Raw genomic sequence first — 23,047 nt, 5'->3', positions numbered from 1 at the left:
AGAGTGAGACTCCGTCTCATAAAAAAAGTGTACATTGCAATGACTTTTAGTAAATGTACAGGGTTTTGCAACCATTACCTCGATCTAATTTTATTTATTTATTTATTGAGATGGAGTTTCACTCTCGTTGTCCAGGCTGGAGTGCAATGGCGCGATCTCGGCTCCCTGCAACCTCTGCCTCCTGGGTTCAAGCAATTCTCCTGCTTCAGCCTCCTGAGTAGCAGGGATTACAGGCGCCTGCCACCATGCCCAGCTACTTTTTTTTTTTTTGTATTTTCAGTAGAGATGGGGTTTTGCCATGTTGGCCAAGCTGGTCTCGAACTCTTGACCTCAGTTGATCCACTCGCCTCAGCCTCCCAAAGTGTTGGAATTACAGGTGTGAGCCACTGCGCCCGGCCCTATTATTATTATTTTTTTCTTAGAGACAGAGTGTGGCTTTGTCACCCAGGCTGGAGCACAGTGGTGCAATCATAGCTCACTGCAGCCTTGAACTCCTGGCTTAAGCAATCCTCCCGCCTCAAGTCCTCCACCTCAGGCATGCACTACCATGCCCAGCTAATTAAGGTGACATTAAATAGACCTGAGGGAAGTGAGGAGACCAGCCCTGCCGCTGTTTGTTGTGTGACCTGAGCCAGGCACAGGGCCTGACACCTATCTTGAAGTTCTTAATTTTTATTTATTTATTTATTTATGTAGACAGTTTCGCTCTTGTTGCCCAGGCTGGAGTGCAATGGCGCGATCTCGGCTCACGGCAACCTCCGTCTCCTGGGTTCAAGTGATTCTCCTGCCTCAGTCTCCTGAGTAGCTGGGATTACAGGCATGTGCCACCATGCCTGGCTAATTTTGTATTTTTAGTAGAGACGAGGTTTCTCCATGTTGGTCAGGCTGATCTCAAACTCCCGACCTCAGGTGATCAGCCCATCTCAGCCTCCCAAAGTTCTGGGATTACAGGCATGAGCCACCGCACCCGGCCTGAAGTTCTTAATTTTTGTGTACATTTTCATTGTGTACAGGGTATGTAGCCAGTCCTGCTGAGGCCAAATGAATTCCAGGCAGAAGGAACACCAAGTGCAAAGCTCACGGAGTGGGCAGGTGTTAACATCTTTGAGTCTGGAGTAGGAAAGGAGGCCATGGTTGGTCTCTCCTCTCTTTCTGCCCTTTGCCCTTTCATCTCCTCCCCAGCTGCCCACTGTGGTTCTGGCACCTCCAGGGCTGATGCAGGAGGGAGAGGAAAGAGGTTCCGGAGTCAAGAAGGGCCTGACTCCTGGGTACTGTCTTGAGCAAGCATTGATGCTCTCTGGGCTTGGCAGGGGTTTAAAGCTGATGCTTGGCCCGGTGCAGTGGTTCAAGCCTGTAATTCCAGCACTTTGGGAGGCTGAGGTGGGTGGATCACCTAAGGTTAGGAGCTCGAGACCAACCTGACTAACATGGTGAAACCCCGTCTCTACTATAAGTACGAAAAATTAGCCGGGTGTGGTGGTGCGCGGCTGTAATCCCAGCTACTTGGGAGGCTGAGGTGGGAGAATAGCCAAGATTGCACCACTGCACTCCAGCCTACGCGACAAAGTGAGACTCTGTTTCAAACAAACAAACAAAAAGCTGACGCTCTTTCTCGTTTGGGGGGTGAGAGGAGCACTTTCATGGAAGTCCTGGTCCGGCTCCCCACCGCAAAGCCTGGGACAGAGACCTATGTGCCAGAGTTTGTATGGGAGGTGATCCCAGGAGGTCGAGTGAGACAGGAAGGAGGTTGCTGCTTTAGGTAATGGAGTCCAGATTCCAGGAAACCCAATGGGCAGACAGAACGGGTTGTTTTCTTTTGGACCAGAGTCCGGGGTTTCCTCAACTGCTCCCGCATCCCACTGGGTGTCAGCTGCGTGTGCCTCCAGTCTGCATCTGAGCTAGTGGGCTAGGCAGCCCTCCCAGCTTCAGAGGGAGCCCTGAGGCAGAAAGCGGAGGAACACCAGGTGGGCGAGTGGGGTGGGGCTGGTGTCAGCATGCGCGGCACTGTCCCCACTGTAGAGGCCGACCTGAGCTAGACCGAGAAGGTGTGACCTGGCACATTCTTATGCCTGCGGCCCTGGGGGTGGTCCCTGCAGGGTCTCCCAGCTGCACCCTTGTGGAAGGTGGATGGGTCTCCACCAGCCAGGTGCTCATGATGACTCCCTCAATCCCAGGACATCACAGATGCCTCCAGCTTCTTCCTGCTGAGGCCTCACGCCACCAGAGGAGAACTTCCTGGGATCTGGATCCGAGGCCGCCCCAGGTGGACTCTCTCTCCTGTGGCCACCTGTGTGTGCGGTGCCCTCTGGCCGCAGCCCTCTACTCCACCGCCTTAGGGGGCTTCAGCCAGTCCTTTCTCTTTGGCTTCTCAGGCAAGAGTCAGACACCAGGTCATAGGTCCTGGGGCACACCCAGCACATACTCTCTGACTAGTCTTTTGGAAGCCCCCTCCCTGGGCTTGAAGTGAGAGGGAAACTACCCCCTCCCACCCAACTTTCTACCTCTGCTTTCCTAATGTCATCTGCCACCACCAGGTCCCCTGTGCACCAGCCCCAGAGCATGACGAGGCCCCATTCCCTAAGCTTACCCCTCCCCTCCCACCTCTGTGCCCTGGACATACTGTTCCCTTTGCCTGGAAAGTCATTTCCCCTCCTCAAGGCTTGGTGAACTCCTCCTCATTCTGTGAGACTCATCCAAGGAGGCCATAAAGCAGTGAATCTGTCTTGGAAATCAGTCCTGCTTCATTGTGCTCCCACTGCACCGTGCTCACACTGCTCTGTGCTCACACTGCTCTGTGCTCCTACTGCACCGTGCTCCCATCACCTTGTGCTCCTGCTGCATTGTGCTCCCATTGCCCTGTGCTCCTGCTGCACCGTGCTCCCGATGTCCTGTACTCCTGCTGTGGAGTAAAGAATTGAAATAGAGTAATACTTGGCATTTCTTGAGCAGTTACTATACGCCAGGCACTGTAAGCCCTTTCCTTGTACGATTCCATTCGCTCCTCCTGCCAACTCTATGAGGTGAATATCATGACCCTGCTTTTGAGTTGAGGAGACTAGCGTCAGGCGAGGTTACAAAATTTGCCAGGGTCACAAAGACCTGGTACACAGTAGAGTTAAAGTGTGAACCCAGGCAGAATACGCCCATGTGCTTCGCTGCTTTGCTGCCTCTAGTGAATGATGGCCTTGTTTGGGGGGAAAAGAAAAGAAGGTGTTGGAGACAGCTCAGGCCCTACACATTGTTTCTCTTGCTTTAGGTCCACTGAAACCCTTACTGATGCTCTCCCAGCTCAGAGCCTGACTCCTTTTGGTCTCTGAGCTGATGGTCTCCCAGCTCAGAGCCTTTTGAGTCCTTTCAGGTACTGGACTTAGGTCTGCCCAGGAATCCAGGCTTGCTGGAGACCTTGATCTACTTGGGGCTGAACCTGGTAGCTGGAAGGGCAGCCTGATGATGCACAGGCTACCCACAAGGCTCCCTTCCAGGGTTCAGAGCTCACAGGGTTATAGGGGTCCGGGCTCCTGGAACCATGCATCACTGGGCCTTACCCAGGTGGCCAGAATGCTGTCAGACTGCCCAGACTGGACTGAGGATGGGGGGCAGGGAAGCACTTGGACTGGGGAAAGGAGTTGAGCAGAGCAGGACAGAGAAAGAAGTGTCTGGGCCCCCAGCTTCCCTGCTTGATATCAGCACTGTGGAGCAGATAAGAGCAGGCTTGGATCCAGGTCCACCACTAGCCAACTGGGTGGCCTTGGGCAAGTAGCATTCTCCCAGGCCTGTTTCCTCATCCACAGACGAACATATTGGCAGAACAGCCTCATGGACCTACAGCACATAAAAGGGGCTTTGCATCTGGCCATAACTGTCCACTGTCTTTACTTCTACTGTTTTATCCTTCAGCTCTCAAATAGCCACAGCCTAGTTTCATGCAGTGAATTCTCTCCCACAAGCACACCTCCAGATCCACTTTCCAGAACCTGAATACCTCTGGAGCTGTGTGACCTGGGACACGAAATTTCTCCTCTCTGGGCCTCAGTTTTCCTATCCATAAAATAGGGATTGTAGGGGCAGAAAGGGTAATCTCTTTCCTCTCTGTCATAAGGGTCATGGCTAACAAGCCTGTAACAAAGACAAGTTAACAAGAAAGAAGCATGACAAATTTATTTGATTATAGTTTTATGTGGCACAGAGCCTTCAGAATGAGGACCCAAAGACATGGGGGAAACTGTCCATTTTTATGCTTAGCATTAGAACATGCCCTTTTTGTCCAGTCATATTTCTCCACAGCTGTCCATATGCCATTAGAATCGCTTAAAATCGCTTGAACCTGGGAGGCAGAGGTTGCAGTGAGCCGAGATAGTGCCACTGCACTCCAGCCTGGGCAAGAAAGCGAGACTCTGTCTCCAAAAAAAGAAAAAAGGAGACTCAAAAGCAGTCTCTGTCCTGCCCTCCTGTCTCTGACCCCTAAACCATAGAAACTAGAACCTCCTAGAACTAGGTCTGCAACCTCCGCCTCCCAGGTTCAAGCGATTCCAAGCTATTCTAATTGCGTATGGACAGCTGTGGAGAAATATGACTGCTAATAAGAGACAGAGTGAGGAAGCCCAGCAAGACCTGTCTGTCCAGATTCTTCTTGGCCTTTCTGTGCAGCGTTCCTCCCTCCTGGGTATGGGGTAGGACCCTTCTGGAATAAGGGTCTTAATTTCTTTCTTTTTTTCTTTTTTTTTTTTTTGAGGGAGTCTAGCTCTGTCGCCCAGGCTGGAGTACAGTGGTACAATCTTGGCTCACAGCAACTTCCACCTCCTGGATTCAAGCAATTCTCCTGCCTCAGCCTCCCGAGTAGCTGGGATTACAGGCACCTGCCACCATGCCCAGCTAATTTTTTATTTTTAGTAGAGACAGGGTTTCACCATGTTGGCCAGGCTGATCTCGAACTCCCAACCTTGTGATCCACCTGCCTCAGCCTCCCAAAGTGCTGGGATTACTAGCGTGAGCCACCATACCCAGCCAAGGGTCTTAATTTCTTTATGGCCACATGTTACACAAAAAGACTGGGGTGGGGTGGGGTGGGGGTGGGAGGCAGGAAAGTTATATTTATATATATATATATATTTTTTTTTTTTTTTTTTTGAGATGGAGTCTCACTCTGTCACCAGGCTGCAGTGTAGTGGTGCAATCTTGGCTCACTGCAACCTCTGCCTCCTGGGTTCCAGTGATTATCCTGCCTCAGCCTCCTGAGTAGCTGGGACTACAGGTGCACACCACCACACCCAGCTAATTTTTGTATTTTTAGTAGAGACGGAGTTTTACCATGTTGGCCAGGATGGTCTCCATCTCTCGACCTCGTCATCCGTTCGCCTCGGCCTCCTAAAGTGCTGGGATTACAGGCGTGAGCCACCGCGCCCGGCCTGGAGCAATATTTTTAGGTGTTATGCCTGGTTTTGGGGGAAAAGGGTTCTAGTTTCTATGACCTGCATTGGGAAAGAAATATTCTAGTTTCTATGGTTTAGGGGTCAGAGACAGGAGGGCAGGACAGAGACTGCTTTTGAGTCTGCTTTTTTCTTTTTTTTTTGGAGACAGAGTCTCGCTTTCTTGCCCAGGCTGGAGTGCAGTGGCGCTATCTCGGCTCACTGCAACCTCCGCCTCCCAGGTTCAAGCGATTCTCCTGCTTCAGCCTCCTGAGTAGCTGGGATTACAGGTGTGCGTCACCATGCCCACCTAATTTTTGTATTTTTAGTAGAAATGGGGTTTCACCATGTTGGCCAGGCTGGTCTCGAACTCCCGGCCTCAAGTGATCCACCCGCTTCAGCCTCCCAAAGTGTTGGGATTACAGGAATTTGCTTTGTCTTTTCTTCTTTTTCCTTTTTTTTTTTTCATTCTTTCCTTCTTTCCATCCATCCATCAAGTGCAGTAGTGAGGAGGGGTAAAGAGTCGAACAAGGAGTTTGATCTGTAACTGACTGAACAATCAAACTGAGATAATTCACTACTTTTGGACCAGACTGAGGCTGCTTCTTAGACCTTCACTTTGGGGACTTTGGTGTATTATTTTCTGAGCCCCCACAGGATCATCACACTCACCTCAAAGGAATGAATGAGGGTTAAATGAGAACAGAAAAATCTCTTGTCACCTCTCTGAGCCTCAGCTTCCCAATTTGTAAAATGGGTTAATTATAGTATGTGCTTCGTAGAGTTGTCTGGATCAAAGGAGGTAGTCACTGCAACCATTTAGTGCACCGCTTGGCACATGGCAAGAGCTTAACAAACTGTAGCTTTCTAAAGGAGCCCAGCATGGAGCAGGTGTTCCAAAAATGAAGGCTGAGTCCAAGTCACCTTCCAAGTTTTTAATTTTTATTCACAATAACAGAATATATTCTATTATGCAGAATATCTTCTCCATAATGTCCTTACTTGTTTTCATTGCCTGTTCTCTATCAGCTGTAAATGAAGGTTTTCTATGCTACTCTTCCCATTCATGCAGGTAACAGATTTAACTAATTCTTATGGGTTTGTCTGAACCTGTTGAAGGAGAGACCGGTTTCATGCTATTACATTACGATTATATAACTAACCTTCCTTCCTTCCTTTCCTTGCTTCCTTCTTTCTCTCTCCCTTCCCTCCCCTCCTTTCTTTTCCCTTTCCCTTTCCTTTCCTTTCCACAGGGTCTCACTCTGTCACCCAGGCTGGAATGCAGTGCTACAATCATAGCTCTCTGTAACCTGGAACTCCTGGGCTCAACCAGTTCTCCCACCTTGGCCTTCCAAAGTGCTGGCATTACAGGCATGGGCCACCTTGCCTGGCCTGACTATATGAATTTCAAATATAATAGAGAAATACATCTTCTTCTAGGACTTTGCAGTGGACAAAGACCCTTCATGCTCATTGCTTTTTTTAATTCTTCTAACAGTGCTGGCAGATTGGTGGTATTATTTCTATTTTACAGATAATAAACCTGTGGCCCAGAGAGAACAAGGAGACTGTCCCAAGATTCCATGGTGAGTTACGGGAGCTCTGGGGCTGGGATCTTCGCATCGTGCTTAGGCACAACCGCCTCTCCCAGTGGTCTCAGAACTCCCTAAGGGCAGAGCGGCGTCTTCTCCTAGGCTGTCTCCTCTTGGCCTCCCATCCGGCAGACTGTGTGCTCCCAAGAGCCGCGGGAGTGGGGGTCTCCCAACTCTGCCTGTTCCAGGTCTTTGCATACTAGAGGAACGGGCAATCTGTGGCATTGTTGATCCAGTATTTACCGAGGGCCTGCTATGTGAAGGGATTCCTCACCCTTCAGGTGCTCCCAGGGCTGGGAATGTGTAACACCAGAGGGTAGAGAGTGGGTGTTTGAATACAGGTCCAGGCTGGGTGCACTCGGCTGGGCAGAGCCGGGGAAGCTGCCCGAGGGGCGGGTTTCGGGTGGGAACTTGAAGAAGCCAGGGGTGCCCAAAGAGGGGGTGGAGCTGCCCCAGCAGAGAAATGAAGGTGCGAACGCTGGGGCGTATCTCGAGCAGAGTGGCCTCGGGAGCAGGGGGCGGGGTGGGCTGAGTAAGCGTAGGGGCCGGCCGAGCTCTAGCTGGGAAACGCAGCCACTCTCCTGCGGCCGCCCTCCCCGACCCTCCCAGGGTCAGCCGGGCCCAGAAGCCGGAGCCTGCGCTTCCCGTCGTCCCGAAGTGCGAGAAGCGCGGCTGCAGCTCTGCGCCGAGGAGCCCCGGGAGTCCACTCCCGGGCCTCGGTCTTCCCATCTGTGTGACGCCACAGGAAGTCCTGAGACGCCACCTCTGCGCGGCCGACCCCTCTCCCGCGCGTGCAACACGTGGGCCTGGCGGGGCAGAGCTGCTTGTGCGCGGCGGGCGGGGTGCGGGGCGCTCGGCGTCGCCTGGGCCCGCGGAGGCGGCTGTAGCCAGAGCGCCCGAGGCCGCCCGCCCTCCCCCGGCTTGGGGCGGGGCCGCTGCCCGGCTGCTCTTTTATCTGCCAGCTCCGCCGACCCGGCCCCCGCGGCCCTCCCAGCTCGGCTCCGGCTCAGGTACGGGGCTGCCAAGACGGGGAGGCCTGGCTGGCCGCAGACGAGGGTGCTCTCCACGGGGCGCGGCGGGGCTGCGGGGCTGCGGGGCTGGACGTGGAAAGAGCAAGGCTCCGCGGGGCAGGGGCGGACTTGGGACCCGGGGAAGACAGGCAGGACGCGGAGCCGGAGGGGAGCACCTGGGCTAAGTGAGAGGACGCCCGCCCGGGGAAGCAGCCAGCGGAGGGCGCAGGAAGGAGGAGCTCGCTGGATGGGGGCGTCTTGGGAAGGGTGGGAGGAGCAGAAGGAGCACGGCTGAGGAGGATGCGGATGGGGGCCTGAGAGCCTGTTTGTCCAGTGAGCAGGGGAGGGGAGGGCTGCTTGGAGAAAATGAAGGATGGAGGGCAGGGAGTGGGTAGGGGCGTCTGGCCCGGGCAAGGCCGCTGCCTTCCTGGAGCAGGACAGTCAGGGAGCTCACTGCTTTCTGGAGGAGGAATGTAGGTGAGACCGGGACAGGAAGGGGTATGGGTGCCCAGAACCGGCTGATGTGAAGGAGTCCCACTTAGGGATCCAGGAACAGTGGGAATAGCACTGCTGGGGGCCAAGAGGGGCACTTGCTCCATGGGCCCAAGCAGTCTAGACACCTTGGGGGATGAGGGAGCCTCCCCTGGTGTCAGGAGAGCCTGGGGGTCCCCCACACACAGTGAGGGAAGGGGAAAACCCACAGCACTTGCCTCAAGGCTGCAGGTTTTGAAGACCTTCAGAAATTTCCCTGTAGCAGCCCCTGGAGGAGGCCTGTGGGGCTAGGTCAAGCCAAGGCCTCGGAGTCTGAACAGTTCGATGGATTCGGAGTCTGGCTGCTCCTGGGTGGACAGCCCAGGACCCCAAGTCTGAGCTCCTATCGGAGAGAGGGACCCAGCCTCTAGTCATGAGGCCTGTGCTACCTCTGGGTCCTTTTGTTGAGAGGCTGCCCCTCTCCAGCCTTAGTTTCTCTGTCCAGAGGGTTCCTTGCTGGTCAGCAGTGCAGCTCAGGTCCTTTTTCTGTGCCCCATGCTGGGTGACTATAGCTCGTTCACCCAACCTCTCTGGGCCTAAGAGATTCCCCCTCCTCAGAGCAGCTGTAAGTCTCAGCTCCACAGAATACTTTCTTTAAGAATTGCTTTTTCAGGCCATCTGTGGGAGCTCACACTTATAATCCCAGCGCTTTGGGAGGCTGAGGTGAGAGGATGGCTTAAGCCGTGAGTTCAAGGTTGCAGTGAGCTGAGATGGTGCCACTGTACTCCAGCCTGGGGGACAGAGCATAGACCCTGTTTAAAAAAAAAAAAAAAAGTCTGGGCATGGTGGCTCACACCTGTAATCCCAGTACTTTGGGAGGCCGAGGCAGGCGGATCACCTGAGGTTGGGAGTTTGAGACCAGCCTGACCAACATGGAGAAACCCCATCTCTACTAAAAATACAAAATTAGCCGGGTGTGGTGGTGCATGCCTGTAATCCCAGTTACTCAGGAGACTGAGGCAGGAGAATCGCTTGAAGCCGGGAGGCGGAGGTTGCAGTGAGCCGAGATCTTGCCATTGTACTTCAGCCTGGGCAACAAGAGTGAAACTTTGTCTCAAAAAATAAAAAAAGAAAAGAAAAGAATTAGGCTGGGCACAGTGGCTCATGATTGTAACCCCAGCACTTTGAGAGGCCAACGCAGGAGGATTGCTCAAGCCCAGGAATTCAAGACCAGCCTGGGCAACATAGTGAGACCTTGTCTCTACACATAATAAAAAAATTAGCCAGGCGTGGTGTTGTGTGCCTGTGGTCAGGGCTACTCAGGAGGCTGAGGTGGGAGGATGGCTTGAGCCTGGGCAGTTGAGGCTGCAGTGATGGCTGCACTGCACTTCAACCTGGGGACAGAGTGATACCCTATCTCAAGAAAAGAAATAGTTACTTATTTCATTCTGATCACATTTTCCAGTACAAATACATGGAGGTCCCAAGTGCCAAAGTTACAAAAAAAAAAAACAGTTTCTGTTCAGTTTTGGAAGACATGTAGGGACTTTTTCTTTAAACACTTTGGACCAAGTTGGGGAGTTAGCCTGCATTGAGGGAGGTGACCCAGTTGCTAAGAGACTGGGAGGCCAGCCAGGGATGAAAACTTTGCCTGTATAATCTGTGGTCACCACTGGGTGCCTGGGAGTTACCCACGGTGGACAAAGGGCAAGAGCGCTGGTTTTGGAGTCAGATAGATGTGCTCTGCCCTCCCGCCTCCAGGGCTGGGCTCCCAGGTTGGCTGTGGATCCAGAGAGTTGTGAGGGAGAGGTAAAATGTGTGTGAAAGTTCTTGGTAAACACCCAGCCACTATATATTATGAGTGGTAGCACCTAATCTCCTTAATGATATTTCAGGTGCCATATTGGGTCATCCTCACTAAAGACCCTTCAAGAGGGTTTTCCTCCAATAGCCCCAGTATTAACATTGGTCTGGCCTTATTATTTGTATCTAATGGGGTTAGACTTTCCCTTCCATGCTGAGAAAAAGTTGTCTTTAAGAGAATGTGCTGAACAATCAGGGCCCAGAAAGGCAACAACGAATATTTTGCATGCCAAGAAGGAGGCAAAAGAGGAAGTGGAATTGTACCCAAATAATGCTTATAATAGGTGTTATTTAGCTGAGCTGTAAGCTCCAGGAGGGCAGGGTATTAATATATTGAGGTGTTGGCTGAGCACTGTGGCTCACTCCTATAATCTCAACACTTTGGGAGGCCAAGGTGGGAGGATGACTTGAGACCAGGAGTTCGAGACCAGCCTGGGCAACATAGCAAGACCTCGTCTCTACACATAATTTAAAAAAATAGGCATGGTAGCGTGCGCCTGTGATTCCCAACTACTCAAGAGGCTGAAGAAGGATCACCGGAGACTGGGAGGTCAAGGCTGCAGTGAGCTGTGTTTGCACCACTGCACTCCAGCCTGGGGGACAGAGCATGACCCTGTCTCAAAAAAAAAAAAAAAAAAAAAAAATCCTGTGGTGTTACCATTGGTATGAATTCCCTGGGCTGTTAGTTCTGCGAGGGCAGTGGTTTAAATGGCTCTGTCACTGAGGAAGCTGCAGCGCCTGGCACATAGGAGGCCTAAAGTAAATATTCTTGGACTGTCCCAGGGCCTAAGGGCCCTTGGAAGTCACTGGTGAATTTACTCTCTCCTTTGACATTTGGAGAAACAGGGCCAAGAGGGGAGGGGACTTGTCCAAGGTCACACAGGGATTGAGTGGCTGAGTCAGGACGAGAATCCCACAGAAACGGCAGAGCCAGCACTGTGCCAGAGCCAACACCTGGCATCCATGGCTTTGTTTTGCTTCCACAAGAGCCCAAGAGGCAGCTATTTTAATCCTCTGATTCCAAAAGGAAACAAGCTCAGAGAGGTTGAGGGACTGTTGCAGAGTCACACAGCAGGTGAATTCCAGACCCGAAATTTCATCCTCACATAAAAATGAGGCCTGTGGCGTCTCTTGAAACAGCCTGCCGGAGAGCCTGCAGAGATTAGTGGAGGATGTCCACCACCAGGGCAGCAGTCTTCTCCAGTTCTCCAGGCTCACTACCTGGCTGGCTTCCCTCCAGGCTGGATCTTCCTAGGCCCTGTGGGCATTTGTGTGGGTGAGCCCGTTGGGGCAGGGAGCCTGTCTGCTTCATTTTCTGTGTGCCCCAGCACACAGAATGCCTGGGTAGCGTTGAGGCTGGCATATAGTATAAGCACTGAGTGAAATCTGTGAGATGGGGGTAACCCAGGGCTCTCCCTCTCCATAAGCCCATTTTCCACCACCTCCCTGCAGCCTGGTCTGTTTTGCCCCACGGGTGTTATGGGAACCTTTGACAGTGTGTATCCTTGGAGAGCAGGCTGGGGCTTGCAAGCCTTCGTTAAGGAGAGAGGTGAGGAGGGCTGACCTTGAGTTGAGGAATATGAATTGGGAGGGGTGAGGAAGTGGAGGGGAGGGGAAGGGAGGAAGGAGCGGCTCAGGCTGACAGAGGCACTCCCACTGGAGCCCTGGAGATCGCACTTCAGAGGTTCAGCCAACCCAGAAGACTCCCAAACCTTCTGCAAGACATGTCCAGGCCAGACCATATGCCATTTGGATCACCTGCTAATTTGGTTCACCCTCTTGTGCCCTCGTGCTCTCCAGGGCTTCTGAGCTGCTGGAGTTGAGGCCCCTTCCCCTGGGACTGTCACTGCTTAGCCACATCTCTTGGGCCTGTGGGTAAGCACCAATTTACAGGGCTCTGTGAATTCAAAACAGTTACTCTGAATGGTCTTTGCTAAGAACAATTTAATGATTAAGTAAGGTCAGTGTCCTTGGAAGTCCAAACTCTAGCCAGATTTCCCTGGTCTACACCCCTAGGGATAAGGTAAATGTTTAAGCACACAGTGAACTTCCTGAGGCCCCCAAATCTAATGGAACTAGCTATTGAGGGCTAAAAGAGGATGGTTTTTTTAGAAAACTCGAAGCAAATCTCTCAGGCTGGGGATATTTCAAAGACTACTACTATTATTATTAATAACAATTGCAATATTTGTTGAGTCCCTAAATGAAGCTAAAACTTTGTTCTAATAAATTTAATCTTTACAGCAACCTATGAGGTAGATAATATTGTCATTCCCATGAGGGAGCTAAGGATCAGAGAAGGTAAGTCACTTGTCTAAGGTCACATAGCTAGCATGTTATGCAATCAGGAGTCAAACCTGGTTTGTCTGAATCTGAAGTCCATCTGCTCTGTGCACTTTTATACCGTCTGCTTTTTCCTTTATTCCTAACCTTCTTCCATTCTGATTCCCACTGAGTAGTGGACAGGAACCACTGAAGTTTGCCTGACACCATCAACCAGGCCCTAGTCACCTGGCTTTGCCTTTGCCCTGCTGTGTGATCTTAGGTAAGTCAAACTTTTCAGCTGGCCCTCGGTTTCCCCGTAAGTCTCATGCAGAGGTGAATGGTGAGCTGCTTGCTGCAGCAGAGGCCTGGCTAGGAAGGCACACAGTTTAGCATGGATTTCACCACTATGGGAGTGGTGAAGTTGGGGAGGAGAGGTGTGGGAGGTTGTCTTTAGCCCCACCCTCTGGTGACATCACACAAGACACCCCCAGTCCCTGGAAGCCCCGCCCCTAGTGCCCCTCATCTGTGGAAGTGCTCAGCATCTGGTGAATTTGCCCAGTCCCATAGTAGAGGTCACCAGCCCCCAGGCTTGAGAGAAACCCCCAGGTACCCAGTGCAATTTGCCAGACTTGGAGGGGCCCATGGAGGTGGGCTGGGCTGAGCTGCCTGAATAGACAGGGCCCAGCAGCCTGGTGGGCACACGACTCAGAGGCTGACCACTCAGAGGATGCCCTGATGGTGCCCTCCGGATATCCATCCTCATCCTGCTGGCTCAGGCTTGACCCCTGCCCCTGCTTTTTCCTTTCCCCTGGATCAGAGTCCCTTTCCATGGAGTCAGGAGGTGGAAACTAATTCTGAAAACAGACCTACTTAGGTGGAGTGAGGCCTCTAGCTGAGGTCTAAAGAAAATAGGGCAGCGGGGTCTCTGTCATCCTAGCATGGTGCCTCAGGTTTTGTCCATAGGGCCCATTATATCTGGGGGAGGGAGGTATAAGCGAGCGCTGTCACTCACCTAAGGAGGTGGCTTGAGCCAGGGCCTCCCTGGAGAAGATCAGGTGCAAGCAGGTAGCCAGCAACTGAGGGAGACTGAATTGCTAGAAGCCTAAGAAAGTAATTTATAAGAAAGAGCCTGGTTGCCTGCTTTAGACCAGGATTTTGCAAAGTTGTTCTGTAGGATGCAGACAAGTGTGCCTGGAGCAGGGCAGCAGTAGTGTCTGCAAGCATCTACAGCCCAGTCCTGGCTCCACCTCCCTCCCCCATCCTCCAACCTTGGGTAAGGAGCTTTTTTTTTTCCTTTCTTTTTTCTTTTTTTTTTTTTTTAGAGAGTCTCACTTTGTCACCCAGACTGGAGTACAGTGGCACGATCTCGGCTCACTGCAATCTCAGCTCCCCGAGCTCAAGCGATTCTCCTGCCTCAGCCTCCTGAGTAGCTGGGATTACAAGCATGCACCACCATGCCCGGCTAATTTTTGTATTTTTAGTAGACATGGGGTTTCCCAATATTGGCCAGGCTGGTCTCGAACTCCTGACCTCAGGTGATCCGCCCACCTCGGCCTCCCAGTGAGCTGGGATTACAGGTGTGAGCCACTGCGCCCAGCTGGGAGCTTTTGACTTCTCTGAATTTCATTATCCGCAACAACAAAATGGGCAGAATAGTACTTACCTCCCAGGCAAGTTATGAGAGTTAATTGCAACAGGACTGTAAAGAGTGGGCATATAGTAAACACTTTCTACATTTAAACTGGCTTTTTTTTTTCTTCTTGAGATGGAGTCTCACTCTGTTGCCCAGGCTTGAGTGCAGTAGTGCGATCTTGGCTCACTGCAACCTCCGCCTCCCGGGTTCAAGGCCTTCTCCTGCCTTAGCTTCCCGAGTAGCTGGGACTACAGGCACGTGCCACCACGCCCAGCTAATTTTTGTATTTTTAGTAGAGACGGGGTTTCACCATGTTGGCCAGAATGGTCTCGATCTCTTGACCTCGTGATCCACCCACCTCGGCCTCCCAAAGTGCTGGGATTACAGGCGTGAGCCACTGCGCCCGGCCTCAAGTGGCTTTATAATATAATTATTACTACGGAAGGAATCCGTGGTCACATAAGCTTGGCAAATGTTGATTCAACAAAGCTAAGCCAACTTCTTTGCTGCAGGACTTCTTAGAGCTTTTTTTTTTTTTTTTTTTTTGAGAAAGGGTCTCACTCTGTCACCCAGGCTGGAGTGCAGTGGCACAATCTTGGCTCCCGGCAACCTCTGCCTCTGAGGCTCAAGGGATCTTCCTGCCTCAGCTTCCCAAGTAGCTGGGACTACAGGTGCACACCACCACACCTGGCGAATTTTTGTATTTTTTCATAGAGACAGGGTTTTACCATGTTGCCCAAGCTGGTTTCGAACTCCTGATTGCAAGTGATCCACCTGCCTCGGCCTCCCAAAGTGCTGGGATTACAGGCATGAGCCATCGTGTCCAGCCCTTCTGAGAGTCTTTAATGTGCTGTTATATCTTGGGAAGTTCCAAGAGTGGGATATGGAGCACAGGACTGGACTTATCAGATCACAGGCACCCAGGAGCTAGGTGTCCACAGGGCACAGCCATCGCCATCATTCGCTGGTCTTTGCCGCAGTAGTGGAATAGAAACCTTGCTGGGTGGGAGGACTCTGGGGAAGGCCTTCCAGTTTCTGGGCTCTGCTTTCCTAAGTGTAAAACAAGAGAGTTGCCCAAGATGCTTTCAGAGGTCTTTTCTGGTCCCCCCAAGGTTCTCAGTTGGGAAGACAAAGTTGTGGACAAGAGTGGGGGCCAGATTGTTGAGGTTGAAACCATCTCTTGGGGAGATGGAGAAATCCAGAACTGGCTCCCCAACCAGCAAGGCTGGCCAAGGGAGGTCTTGTGCTCTGGATGGAAGTGGCCCCGTCAATTAGTGCAGCAGCAATGTCTGCTTCCTAAATCTGCCCTGTGCCAGGCTCGCTGGGGAATAGAAGAGTCCTGCACATGCCTGTTGTCCTAAGTAGCAGCCCCTGTGCAGCAGTGTAACGACTCCTGCTTCCCCACTGGACTAGGAAAGACTGGGGAGCAGGGCTGATGCCAGAATCCTAATGCAGGAGGAGCTTAGGAATGCAAATCAGGCTCTGGAGATGTGGGCTTGTGGGGGTGGGGTCGTCTTGATGCTGCCCTTGCATAGCAAGCACTCTGCATTTACTTGGACTGTGTGTGACTTATTTGATTGGTTTTGGGGGTGATCACAGTGCCACTGGGGGCAGAGAACATGAATGCTTTATCCTGCCTGAATCTCTTTTCCTTGTCTGGTGACTGGTGCAGAGGTAGTCACAATAAATATCTGATGAACCTGAACACTGAGTCCAATAAGTAAGCTTGGAGGGAATTTATTTGGCAGGCAGGGAGGGATTGTCTGGCAGGTTTTTCAATAACTATTTGAGTTAATGAATAACACAATGAATGACGGTAAGCCTGAATTATGTAATTGAAGCCAGGTAAAACAGTATAAAATTAGGAAACGATAAATAGCCCTTGCCACCTTGTGTTGCAAAGTGCATTTTAGGGTAGTGGTTAAGAGCACAGTGGCTCACATTTGTAATCCCAGCACTTTGGGAGGCCGAGTGGGAGGGTCGCTTGAGGCCAGGAGTTCGAGACCAGCCTGGGCAACAAAGTGAGACCCTGACTCTATAATAAAGTAAAAATAAATTTAAAAAATCAGCTGAGCATGGTAACATGTACCTGTAGCCCCAGCCACTTGGGAGGCTGATAGGAGGATTGCTTGAGTCCATGAGGTCAAGGCTGCAGTGAGCTGTGATTATACCACTGTGCTCCAACCTGGGGGACAGAGCAAGACGCTATCTTAAAAACAAAACAAGGCTGGGTGCCGTGGCTCACGCCTGTAATCCCAACACTTTGGGAGGCCAAGGTAGGTGGATCACCTGAGGTCAGGAGTTCGAGACCAGCCTGGCCAATGTGGTGAAACCCTGTCTACTAAAAATACAAAAATTAGCTGGGCGTGGTGGCGGGCACCTGTAATCCTAGGTACTCGGGAGGCTGAGGCAGGAGAATTGCTTGAACCCAGGAGGCGGAGGTTGCAGTGAGCCGAGATTGAGCCATTGCACTCCAGCCTGGGTGACAGAGCAAGACTCTGTCTCAAACAAACAAACAAACAAAACACACAAAAAAACAGACTTGAGTTCAGAGCATGCCTCTGCCATCTGCTACTTCCTGGCTAGGTGGGTGGGCAAGGCACTTAACTTCTCTGTACTTCAGTTTCCTTACCTGGAAAATGGGAATAATGATAGTGTCTGCCTCTCAGGGTTGCTGGGAAGCGTCTAGCAGGTGCTGTGTGAGCATTTGCTATGATTTGTTTTTGTTTCTATATCTTTTGCCAGATCATGACATTCCTGAGGGCAGGGATCAAATCTTTCACTCTGTTCTTTGTCCCATCCAGCACAGGGTCTGAGGCAAAGAAGGGCTCAGTAAGTGTTTGTTAAATGAATGAATCAAGGTTAAACTGTGTAACCCATTATAGGTCAGGGGAAAGTGGGATTGGGGGAGCAGTAAGGAGGCCCCAGAGGTGGCAGCTTGTAGTGGTCTTAAAGGATTTCAGTGCAGGGAAAGGAAGGTGGCACAGGGTGTGACATTGGGGTTAGGTGGGGAATAAGGGTAGTAGGAGCAGGTCATGTGGGCCTTGAATGCCAGGGTAAGGGGTTATATTGGATTTATTTGGAACTAGCAACCATGGGCAGTTGGGGGAGGGCCTGGAGAGGGGATTTTGAGAGTGGGGGTGTGGTTCATCAGTTGTTAAATGGGGACTTTCAGGAAAAAAGTGGTCTTTTGAGTTGGGCCTGGAAAGATATGAAGTGTTATCAGAATGGTGTCATGTTGTTCTTTCTTTTTCTTTTTTTTTTTTTTTGAGACGGAGTTTCCCTCTTGTTGCCCAGGCTGGAGTGCAATGGTGCGATCTCGGCTCACCGCAACCTACGCCTCCTTGGTTCAAGTAATTCTCCTGCCTCAGCCTCTGGAGTAGCTGGGCTTATAGGCAGGTGCCACCACAACTGGCTAGTTTTGTATTTTTATTTATTTATTTATTTTTGAGATGGAGTCTCACTCTGTCGCCCAGGCTGGAGTGCAGTGGCGTGATCTTGGCTCACTGCAAGCTCCACCTCTCGGGTTCATGCCATTCTCCTGCCTCAGCTCCCGAGTAGCTGGGACTGCAGGTGTCTGCCACCACGCCTGGCTAATTTTTTGTATTTTAGTAGAGATGAGGTTTCACCGTGTTAGCCAGGATGGTCTCGATCTCCTGACCTCATGATCCGCCCGCCTCGGCCTCCCAAAGTGCTGGGATTACAGGCGTGAGCCACCATGCCCGGCCTAGTTTTGTATTTTTAGTAGAGACAGGATTTCTCCATGTTGGTCAGGCTGGTCTCGACCTCCCGACCTCAGGTGATCCGCCTGCCTCAGCCTCCCAAAGTGCTGGGATTACAGGCGTGAGCCACTGCGCCCGGTCATGTTGTTCTTTCATTCAGCAAACATTGAGTGCCAGCTATTTGCTAAGCACCAGGGATTCACAAAATAATGAGACAAACTGCCTCCCCTTGATGAGCTCACATGAACAATCATGAGAAATGTGAAAATCGTCAAAGGATGGTCTGATGATAAGCACTCAAGTGGAGGGGTCATCGTAGGAGGTTCAGGAGGCCAGGGAAAGCATCCCAGAAGAAATGTTTTTTTGTTTGTGGTTTTTTTTTTTTTTTTGAGACGGAGTCTCGCTGTCACCCAGGCTGGAGTGCAGTGGCGCGCACTGCAGGCTCCGCCCCCTGGGTTCACGCCATTCTCCTGCCTCAGCCTCCCGAGCAGCTGGGACTACAGGTGCCCCCCACCTCACCTGGCTAAATTTTTGTATTTTTAGTAGAGACGGGGTTTCACCGTGTTAGCCAGGATGGTCTCCATCTCCTGACCTTGTGATCCGCCCGTCTCAGCCTCCCAAAGTGCTGGGATTACAGATGTGAGCCACCGCACCTGGCCGCTGTTTGTTTTTTTAAGAGACAGGATCTCGCTTGAGATCAAGCTTGATCAAGCTTGAGAGTAGTAGTGTGATCAGAGCTCACTGTACATCAAATTCCTGGGCTCAAGGGATCCTCCTGCCCCAGCCTCTCCAGTAGCTGGGACTACAGGCACATGCCACCACACCTGGCTAACTTTTTTGTAGAGATAGGATCTCACTACATTGCCCAGGCTGGTCTTGAACTCCTGGCCCCAAGCAATCCTCCTGCTCTGACCTCTCAAAGTGCTGGGATTACAGGAGTGAGGCCGCATGCCTAGCCAAGAAATGGGTTTTTGAGGAATGAATAGGGGTTTGCCTAGTAGGCAAGATGAGGAAAATGTCTCAGGCAGAGGGAACGGCTCGTGTAAAGCTACAGACATGTGAAAGAGCAGTCCAGGGGTTGGTGGGGCTGTGTCTGGATTTGAAGTGCACTGTGGTTGTGCAACAAGACTGGAGAGGGTAGCAGGGACCAGGTCATGCAGGGTAATGGAGGGTCAGTAGGGGACCCTGGCCACTCTTGAGGAGCTAGATAGGTAGAGGCAGTGGGTCTATTAGCAAGGTCATTATTGCCACCAGTTGAACACTAATGGTGGCATGAACACGGGCTGAGAGCGCCTCACCCCTCTCATGTGTTTCACATGGCCAGATCTGTTCTTTAGGAGAGAAAACAGCTGGTGCTGCTGTGTGGAGCCTGGGACCGGAAAGGAAATTAACAAGACAGGGAGCCTTATTAGTTAATACATTCCTCAAACATTTATTGAGCACCTACTATGTGTCAGGCACTGTTCTAGGTACCTGGAATACATCAGGGATCCTTGCTCTCATGAGGTCAGAGATGAGGAATTCCATAGGATGAGTCTTCTGTTCTTAAACCGAGTGTAAGGATAAGGCTGTCGGAGAGGAGGGAGTAGGATTTGGGCATCAGAGCCCCCCAGCTGCTGCTCGTGGGGGTGAGGACACCAGGCCCCTGACTTTGCTCTGGTCTCTCTCCCAGCTCCCTGCCCAGGCCCACAGCCATGGCCATGGCCCAGAAACTCAGCCACCTCCTGCCGAGTCTGCGGCAGGTCATCCAGGAGCCTCAGCTATCTCTGCAGCCAGAGCCTGTCTTCACGGTGGATCGAGCTGAGGTGCCGCCGCTCTTCTGGAAGCCGTACATCTATGCGGGCTACCGGCCGCTGCATCAGACCTGGCGCTTCTATTTCCGCACGCTGTTCCAGCAGCACAACGAGGCCGTGAATGTCTGGACCCACCTGCTGGCGGCCCTGGTACTGCTGCTGCGGCTGGCCCTCTTTGTGGAGACCGTGGACTTCTGGGGAGACCCACACGCCCTGCCCCTCTTCATCATTGTCCTTGCCTCTTTCACCTACCTCTCCTTCAGTGCCTTGGCTCACCTCCTGCAGGCCAAGTCTGAGTTCTGGCATTACAGCTTCTTCTTCCTGGACTATGTGGGGGTGGCCGTGTACCAGTTTGGCAGTGCCTTGGCACACTTCTACTATGCTATCGAGCCCGCCTGGCATGCCCAGGTGCAGGCTGTTTTTCTGCCCATGGCTGCCTTTCTCGCCTGGCTTTCCTGCATTGGCTCCTGCTATAACAAGTACATCCAGAAACCAGGCCTGCTGGGCCGCACATGCCAGGAGGTGCCCTCCGTCCTGGCCTACGCACTGGACATTAGTCCTGTGGTGCATCGTATCTTCGTGTCCTCCGACCCCACCACGGATGATCCAGCTCTTCTCTACCACAAGTGCCAGGTGGTCTTCTTTCTGCTGGCTGCTGCCTTCTTCTCTACCTTCATGCCCGAGCGCTGGTTCCCTGGCAGCTGCCATGTCTTCGGGCAGGGCCACCAACTTTTCCACATCTTCTTGGTGCTGTGCACGCTGGCTCAGCTGGAGGCTGTGGCACTGGACTATGAGGCCCGACGGCCCATCTATGAGCCTCTGCACACGCACTGGCCTCACAACTTTTCTGGCCTCTTCCTGCTCACGGTGGGCAGCAGCATCCTCACTGCATTCCTCCTGAGCCAGCTGGTACAGCGCAAACTTGATCAGAAGACCAAGTGAAGGGGGATGGCATCTGGTAGGGAGGGAGGTATAGTTGGGGGACAGGGGTCTGGGTTTGGCTCCAGGTGGGAACAAGGCCTGGTAAAGTTGTTTGTGTCTGGCCCACAGTGACTCTCTGTGCACGACTCAACTGCCAAGGGCATCACTGGCCAATTCTTGGATTTAGGGATTGGCTAGGAGTTGCTGGGGTCCACTCCTGGGCCTGCCCCAGCTCCTTGCCCAGGGAGAGGGAAAGAGTTAACGGTGTGGGCCACTCCAGCTTGCCCTTCCACTGCCACTCACTGGGGTGAGGCTGGGGGTCAGCTTGGTGAGGATTGGGGCTTCTAGATTGTCTAGGCAGGAGGTGAAACTTAGGCCAGAGTCAGATTTGAGCTGAGCCAGGGGAGGCCTTGGCAACCTACTTCTACTCAGATTTCATTGCTGGATGCGGAAGGGGTAGGCCCAAAATATATACAGGATCTTACTGTCCCTTGAAGCCCAGCCACAAGTGTTGGAGCTGCAGAGAGACCCCAAAGGTAGTAGATTGTGCCAGATACAAATGGGTCCCATCCAGTGCTTCATACTCCTTCAGTCACTATCCCAGACAGTGAGCCCCAGATCTCCTAGCTCTGGCTTCTGTGTCCCACACGGCCTGTTCCCAGCTTCTCTCCTGGTTCCCTTGTTACGGATTCATTTATCCATTCAGTGTTTCCTGGGCCTCTGCTCAGAGGCAGGTCACCACTGGGCCCTGTGGATCAATGCAAGATGACAAAGGCTTTTTTTTTTTTTTTTTTTTTTTTTTTTTTTGAGGAGTTTCGCTCTTGTTGGCTAGGCTGGAGTAAAATGGTGCGATCTCGGCTCACTGCACCTCCGCCTCCCAGGTTCAAGCGATTTTCCTGCCTCAGCCTCCCGAGTAGCTGGGGTTACAGGCATGCACCACCATGCCTGGCTAATTTTCTGTATTTTTAGTAGAGACGGGGTTTCTCCATGTTGGTCAGGCTGGTCTTGAACTCCTGACCTCAGGTGATCTGCCCGTCTCGGCCTCCCAAAGTGCTGGGATTACCGGCATGAGCCACTGCGCCTGGCCGACAAAGGCTTTGATATCAGAATGAACTGTCAAGGGAGGTGCTGGAGAGGGATTAACCTGTGCTGCCTGGGACCCTCAGGGTCTTAGGTTGGGGAGTGTGAATAGGAGTTTGCAGATGGAGAATAGGAAGGGCATTCCAGGCAGAGGGAAACCTGTGCAGAGACCAAGAGGTGTGGAAGGAAAAGTGGGGTTGGGGCTGGGTGGTCTGGATTATGGCCTGGATGCAATAAAGTACTGTGACAGTAGCCACCTCTTTGTTTTTTGTCTCCTGTTTCCGGGAGGGGCCCCTGCTCACATTACTGGAGGTTTTCCGGAGGAAGCTGGGGCCCCTGGGAGTGGACACAGGGTGCAGGGAGCAGTTCTTGTTTTATCTTTGCTGGGGGATGGGGTTGGGGCCTTATATACCATATCTATATATACAAAATTTGTTTGGCAAGGGAGTGGGCGGCAGTTTTATTACTAAAGTTTTATAAGTAGTTAAAATAATGTGTTTAAAATATGATAATCCCACTTTATGATCTGACAAAGACTTTTTTTGTTTGGTTTTTCCTTCAATTAAGGAGGGTTTTTTTGTTTTGTTTTTAGTGGAGGGGGCAGGGGCGTGCACACTCCACCACACATATTGAGCCTCGTCGCATGCGCACCGAAGAAGTATGTTAACTTTTATAATATTGCTTTTTCCATAGTACACAGCAATATATATACAATGAAGGAAAATTGGGAAGATAAGAAAACCCAAATTAATTAGAAATATCACTTCACTGCTGAAATATCATGGGGGACCTTATGAAATACACACACACACACACACACACACACACACACACACACACATAAAATATGTGTATATAAATAAATATTTTGATATAGGCCAGGCATGGTGACTCACGCTTGTAATCCCAGCACTTTGGGAGGCTGAGGCAGGCATATCACCTGAGGGCAGGAAGTTGAGACCAGTCTGGCCAACATGGCGAAAACCCATCTCTACTAAAAATACAAAAATTAGCCAGGCGTGGTGGCACACACCTGTAGTCCCAGCTACTTGGGAGGCTGAGGTGGCAGGATCGCTTGAGCCCAAGAGGTTGAGGCTGCAGTGAGCTGAGACTGTGCCACTGTACCCGAGCCTGGGTGACAAAGCGAGATGGCTCTGTCCACCATGAAGACAGGCTCTGGCTGCAGAGATGGTTGAGGTTCCTGGCTGACCTGCTGCAGACTGGGCAAGAGGTGGCTGAGCTTCTATCCTCCCTCCACCAAAAAAAAAAAATTACAAAATTTTTGGCCGGGC

The 23,047-nt window shown here is 51.8% G+C and overlaps 1 protein-coding gene across 4 annotated transcripts, besides 7 other annotated features; it reads left to right on the top strand.

Annotated features, from left to right (window-relative positions):
• PAQR7 (progestin and adipoQ receptor family member 7) lies at nt 7,787–22,011 on the top strand. 4 transcript variants are annotated; one of them, XM_011540862.3, is made up of 4 exons: nt 7,787–8,007; nt 12,801–12,886; nt 16,985–17,071; nt 19,634–22,011. In XM_011540862.3, the coding sequence occupies exon 4, from the start codon at nt 19,656–19,658 to the stop codon at nt 20,694–20,696; it is 1,041 nt and encodes a 346-aa protein (XP_011539164.1). In that variant the 5' UTR covers nt 7,787–8,007; nt 12,801–12,886; nt 16,985–17,071; nt 19,634–19,655; the 3' UTR covers nt 20,697–22,011. The 4 variants fall into 4 exon arrangements, with proteins under 4 accessions (XP_011539164.1, NP_848509.1, XP_005245803.1 ...); NM_178422.6 differs by lacking the exon at nt 16,985–17,071; XM_047447964.1 differs by lacking the exon at nt 16,985–17,071 and having other exon boundaries at nt 7,946–12,642.
• Nucleotides 7,828–8,207: a silencer, noted in NCBI's record as "silent region_466". NCBI's record gives its function as "represses an Ori minimal core promoter by ATAC-STARR-seq in GM12878 lymphoblastoid cells {active_cell/tissue: GM12878}" and the evidence as "EXISTENCE:reporter gene assay evidence [ECO:0000049][PMID:35858748]".
• Nucleotides 7,828–8,607: a biological region, named in NCBI's record as "H3K27ac-H3K4me1 hESC enhancer GRCh37_chr1:26201379-26201878".
• Nucleotides 8,108–8,607: an enhancer, noted in NCBI's record as "H3K27ac-H3K4me1 hESC enhancer chr1:26201379-26201878 (GRCh37/hg19 assembly coordinates)". NCBI's record gives its function as "activates a minimal SCP1, AML or CMV promoter by ChIP-STARR-seq in primed H9 embryonic stem cells {active_cell/tissue: H9 hESC(primed)}" and the evidence as "EXISTENCE:reporter gene assay evidence [ECO:0000049][PMID:30033119]".
• Nucleotides 8,758–8,807: an enhancer, noted in NCBI's record as "active region_470". NCBI's record gives its function as "activates an Ori minimal core promoter by ATAC-STARR-seq in GM12878 lymphoblastoid cells {active_cell/tissue: GM12878}" and the evidence as "EXISTENCE:reporter gene assay evidence [ECO:0000049][PMID:35858748]".
• Nucleotides 10,658–10,747: an enhancer, noted in NCBI's record as "active region_469". NCBI's record gives its function as "activates an Ori minimal core promoter by ATAC-STARR-seq in GM12878 lymphoblastoid cells {active_cell/tissue: GM12878}" and the evidence as "EXISTENCE:reporter gene assay evidence [ECO:0000049][PMID:35858748]".
• Nucleotides 13,278–13,779: an enhancer, noted in NCBI's record as "H3K4me1 hESC enhancer chr1:26196207-26196708 (GRCh37/hg19 assembly coordinates)". NCBI's record gives its function as "activates a minimal SCP1, AML or CMV promoter by ChIP-STARR-seq in naive H9 embryonic stem cells {active_cell/tissue: H9 hESC(naive)}" and the evidence as "EXISTENCE:reporter gene assay evidence [ECO:0000049][PMID:30033119]".
• Nucleotides 20,078–20,847: an enhancer, noted in NCBI's record as "H3K4me1 hESC enhancer chr1:26189139-26189908 (GRCh37/hg19 assembly coordinates)". NCBI's record gives its function as "activates a minimal SCP1, AML or CMV promoter by ChIP-STARR-seq in naive H9 embryonic stem cells {active_cell/tissue: H9 hESC(naive)}" and the evidence as "EXISTENCE:reporter gene assay evidence [ECO:0000049][PMID:30033119]".

The sequence above is a fragment of the Homo sapiens genome, chromosome 1 (assembly GCF_000001405.40).
Source record: "Homo sapiens chromosome 1, GRCh38.p14 Primary Assembly".
In the NCBI taxonomy this organism is placed as follows: domain Eukaryota; kingdom Metazoa; phylum Chordata; class Mammalia; order Primates; family Hominidae; genus Homo; species Homo sapiens.
This window is presented reverse-complemented; position numbering and strand designations above follow the sequence as displayed.

What these genes read in the sequence shown, in the direction of transcription:
- PAQR7 (XM_005245746.4), top strand. Translation starts at nt 19,656, where the DNA reads ATGGCCATGGCCCAGAAACTCAGCCACCTCCTGCCGAGTCTGCGGCAG.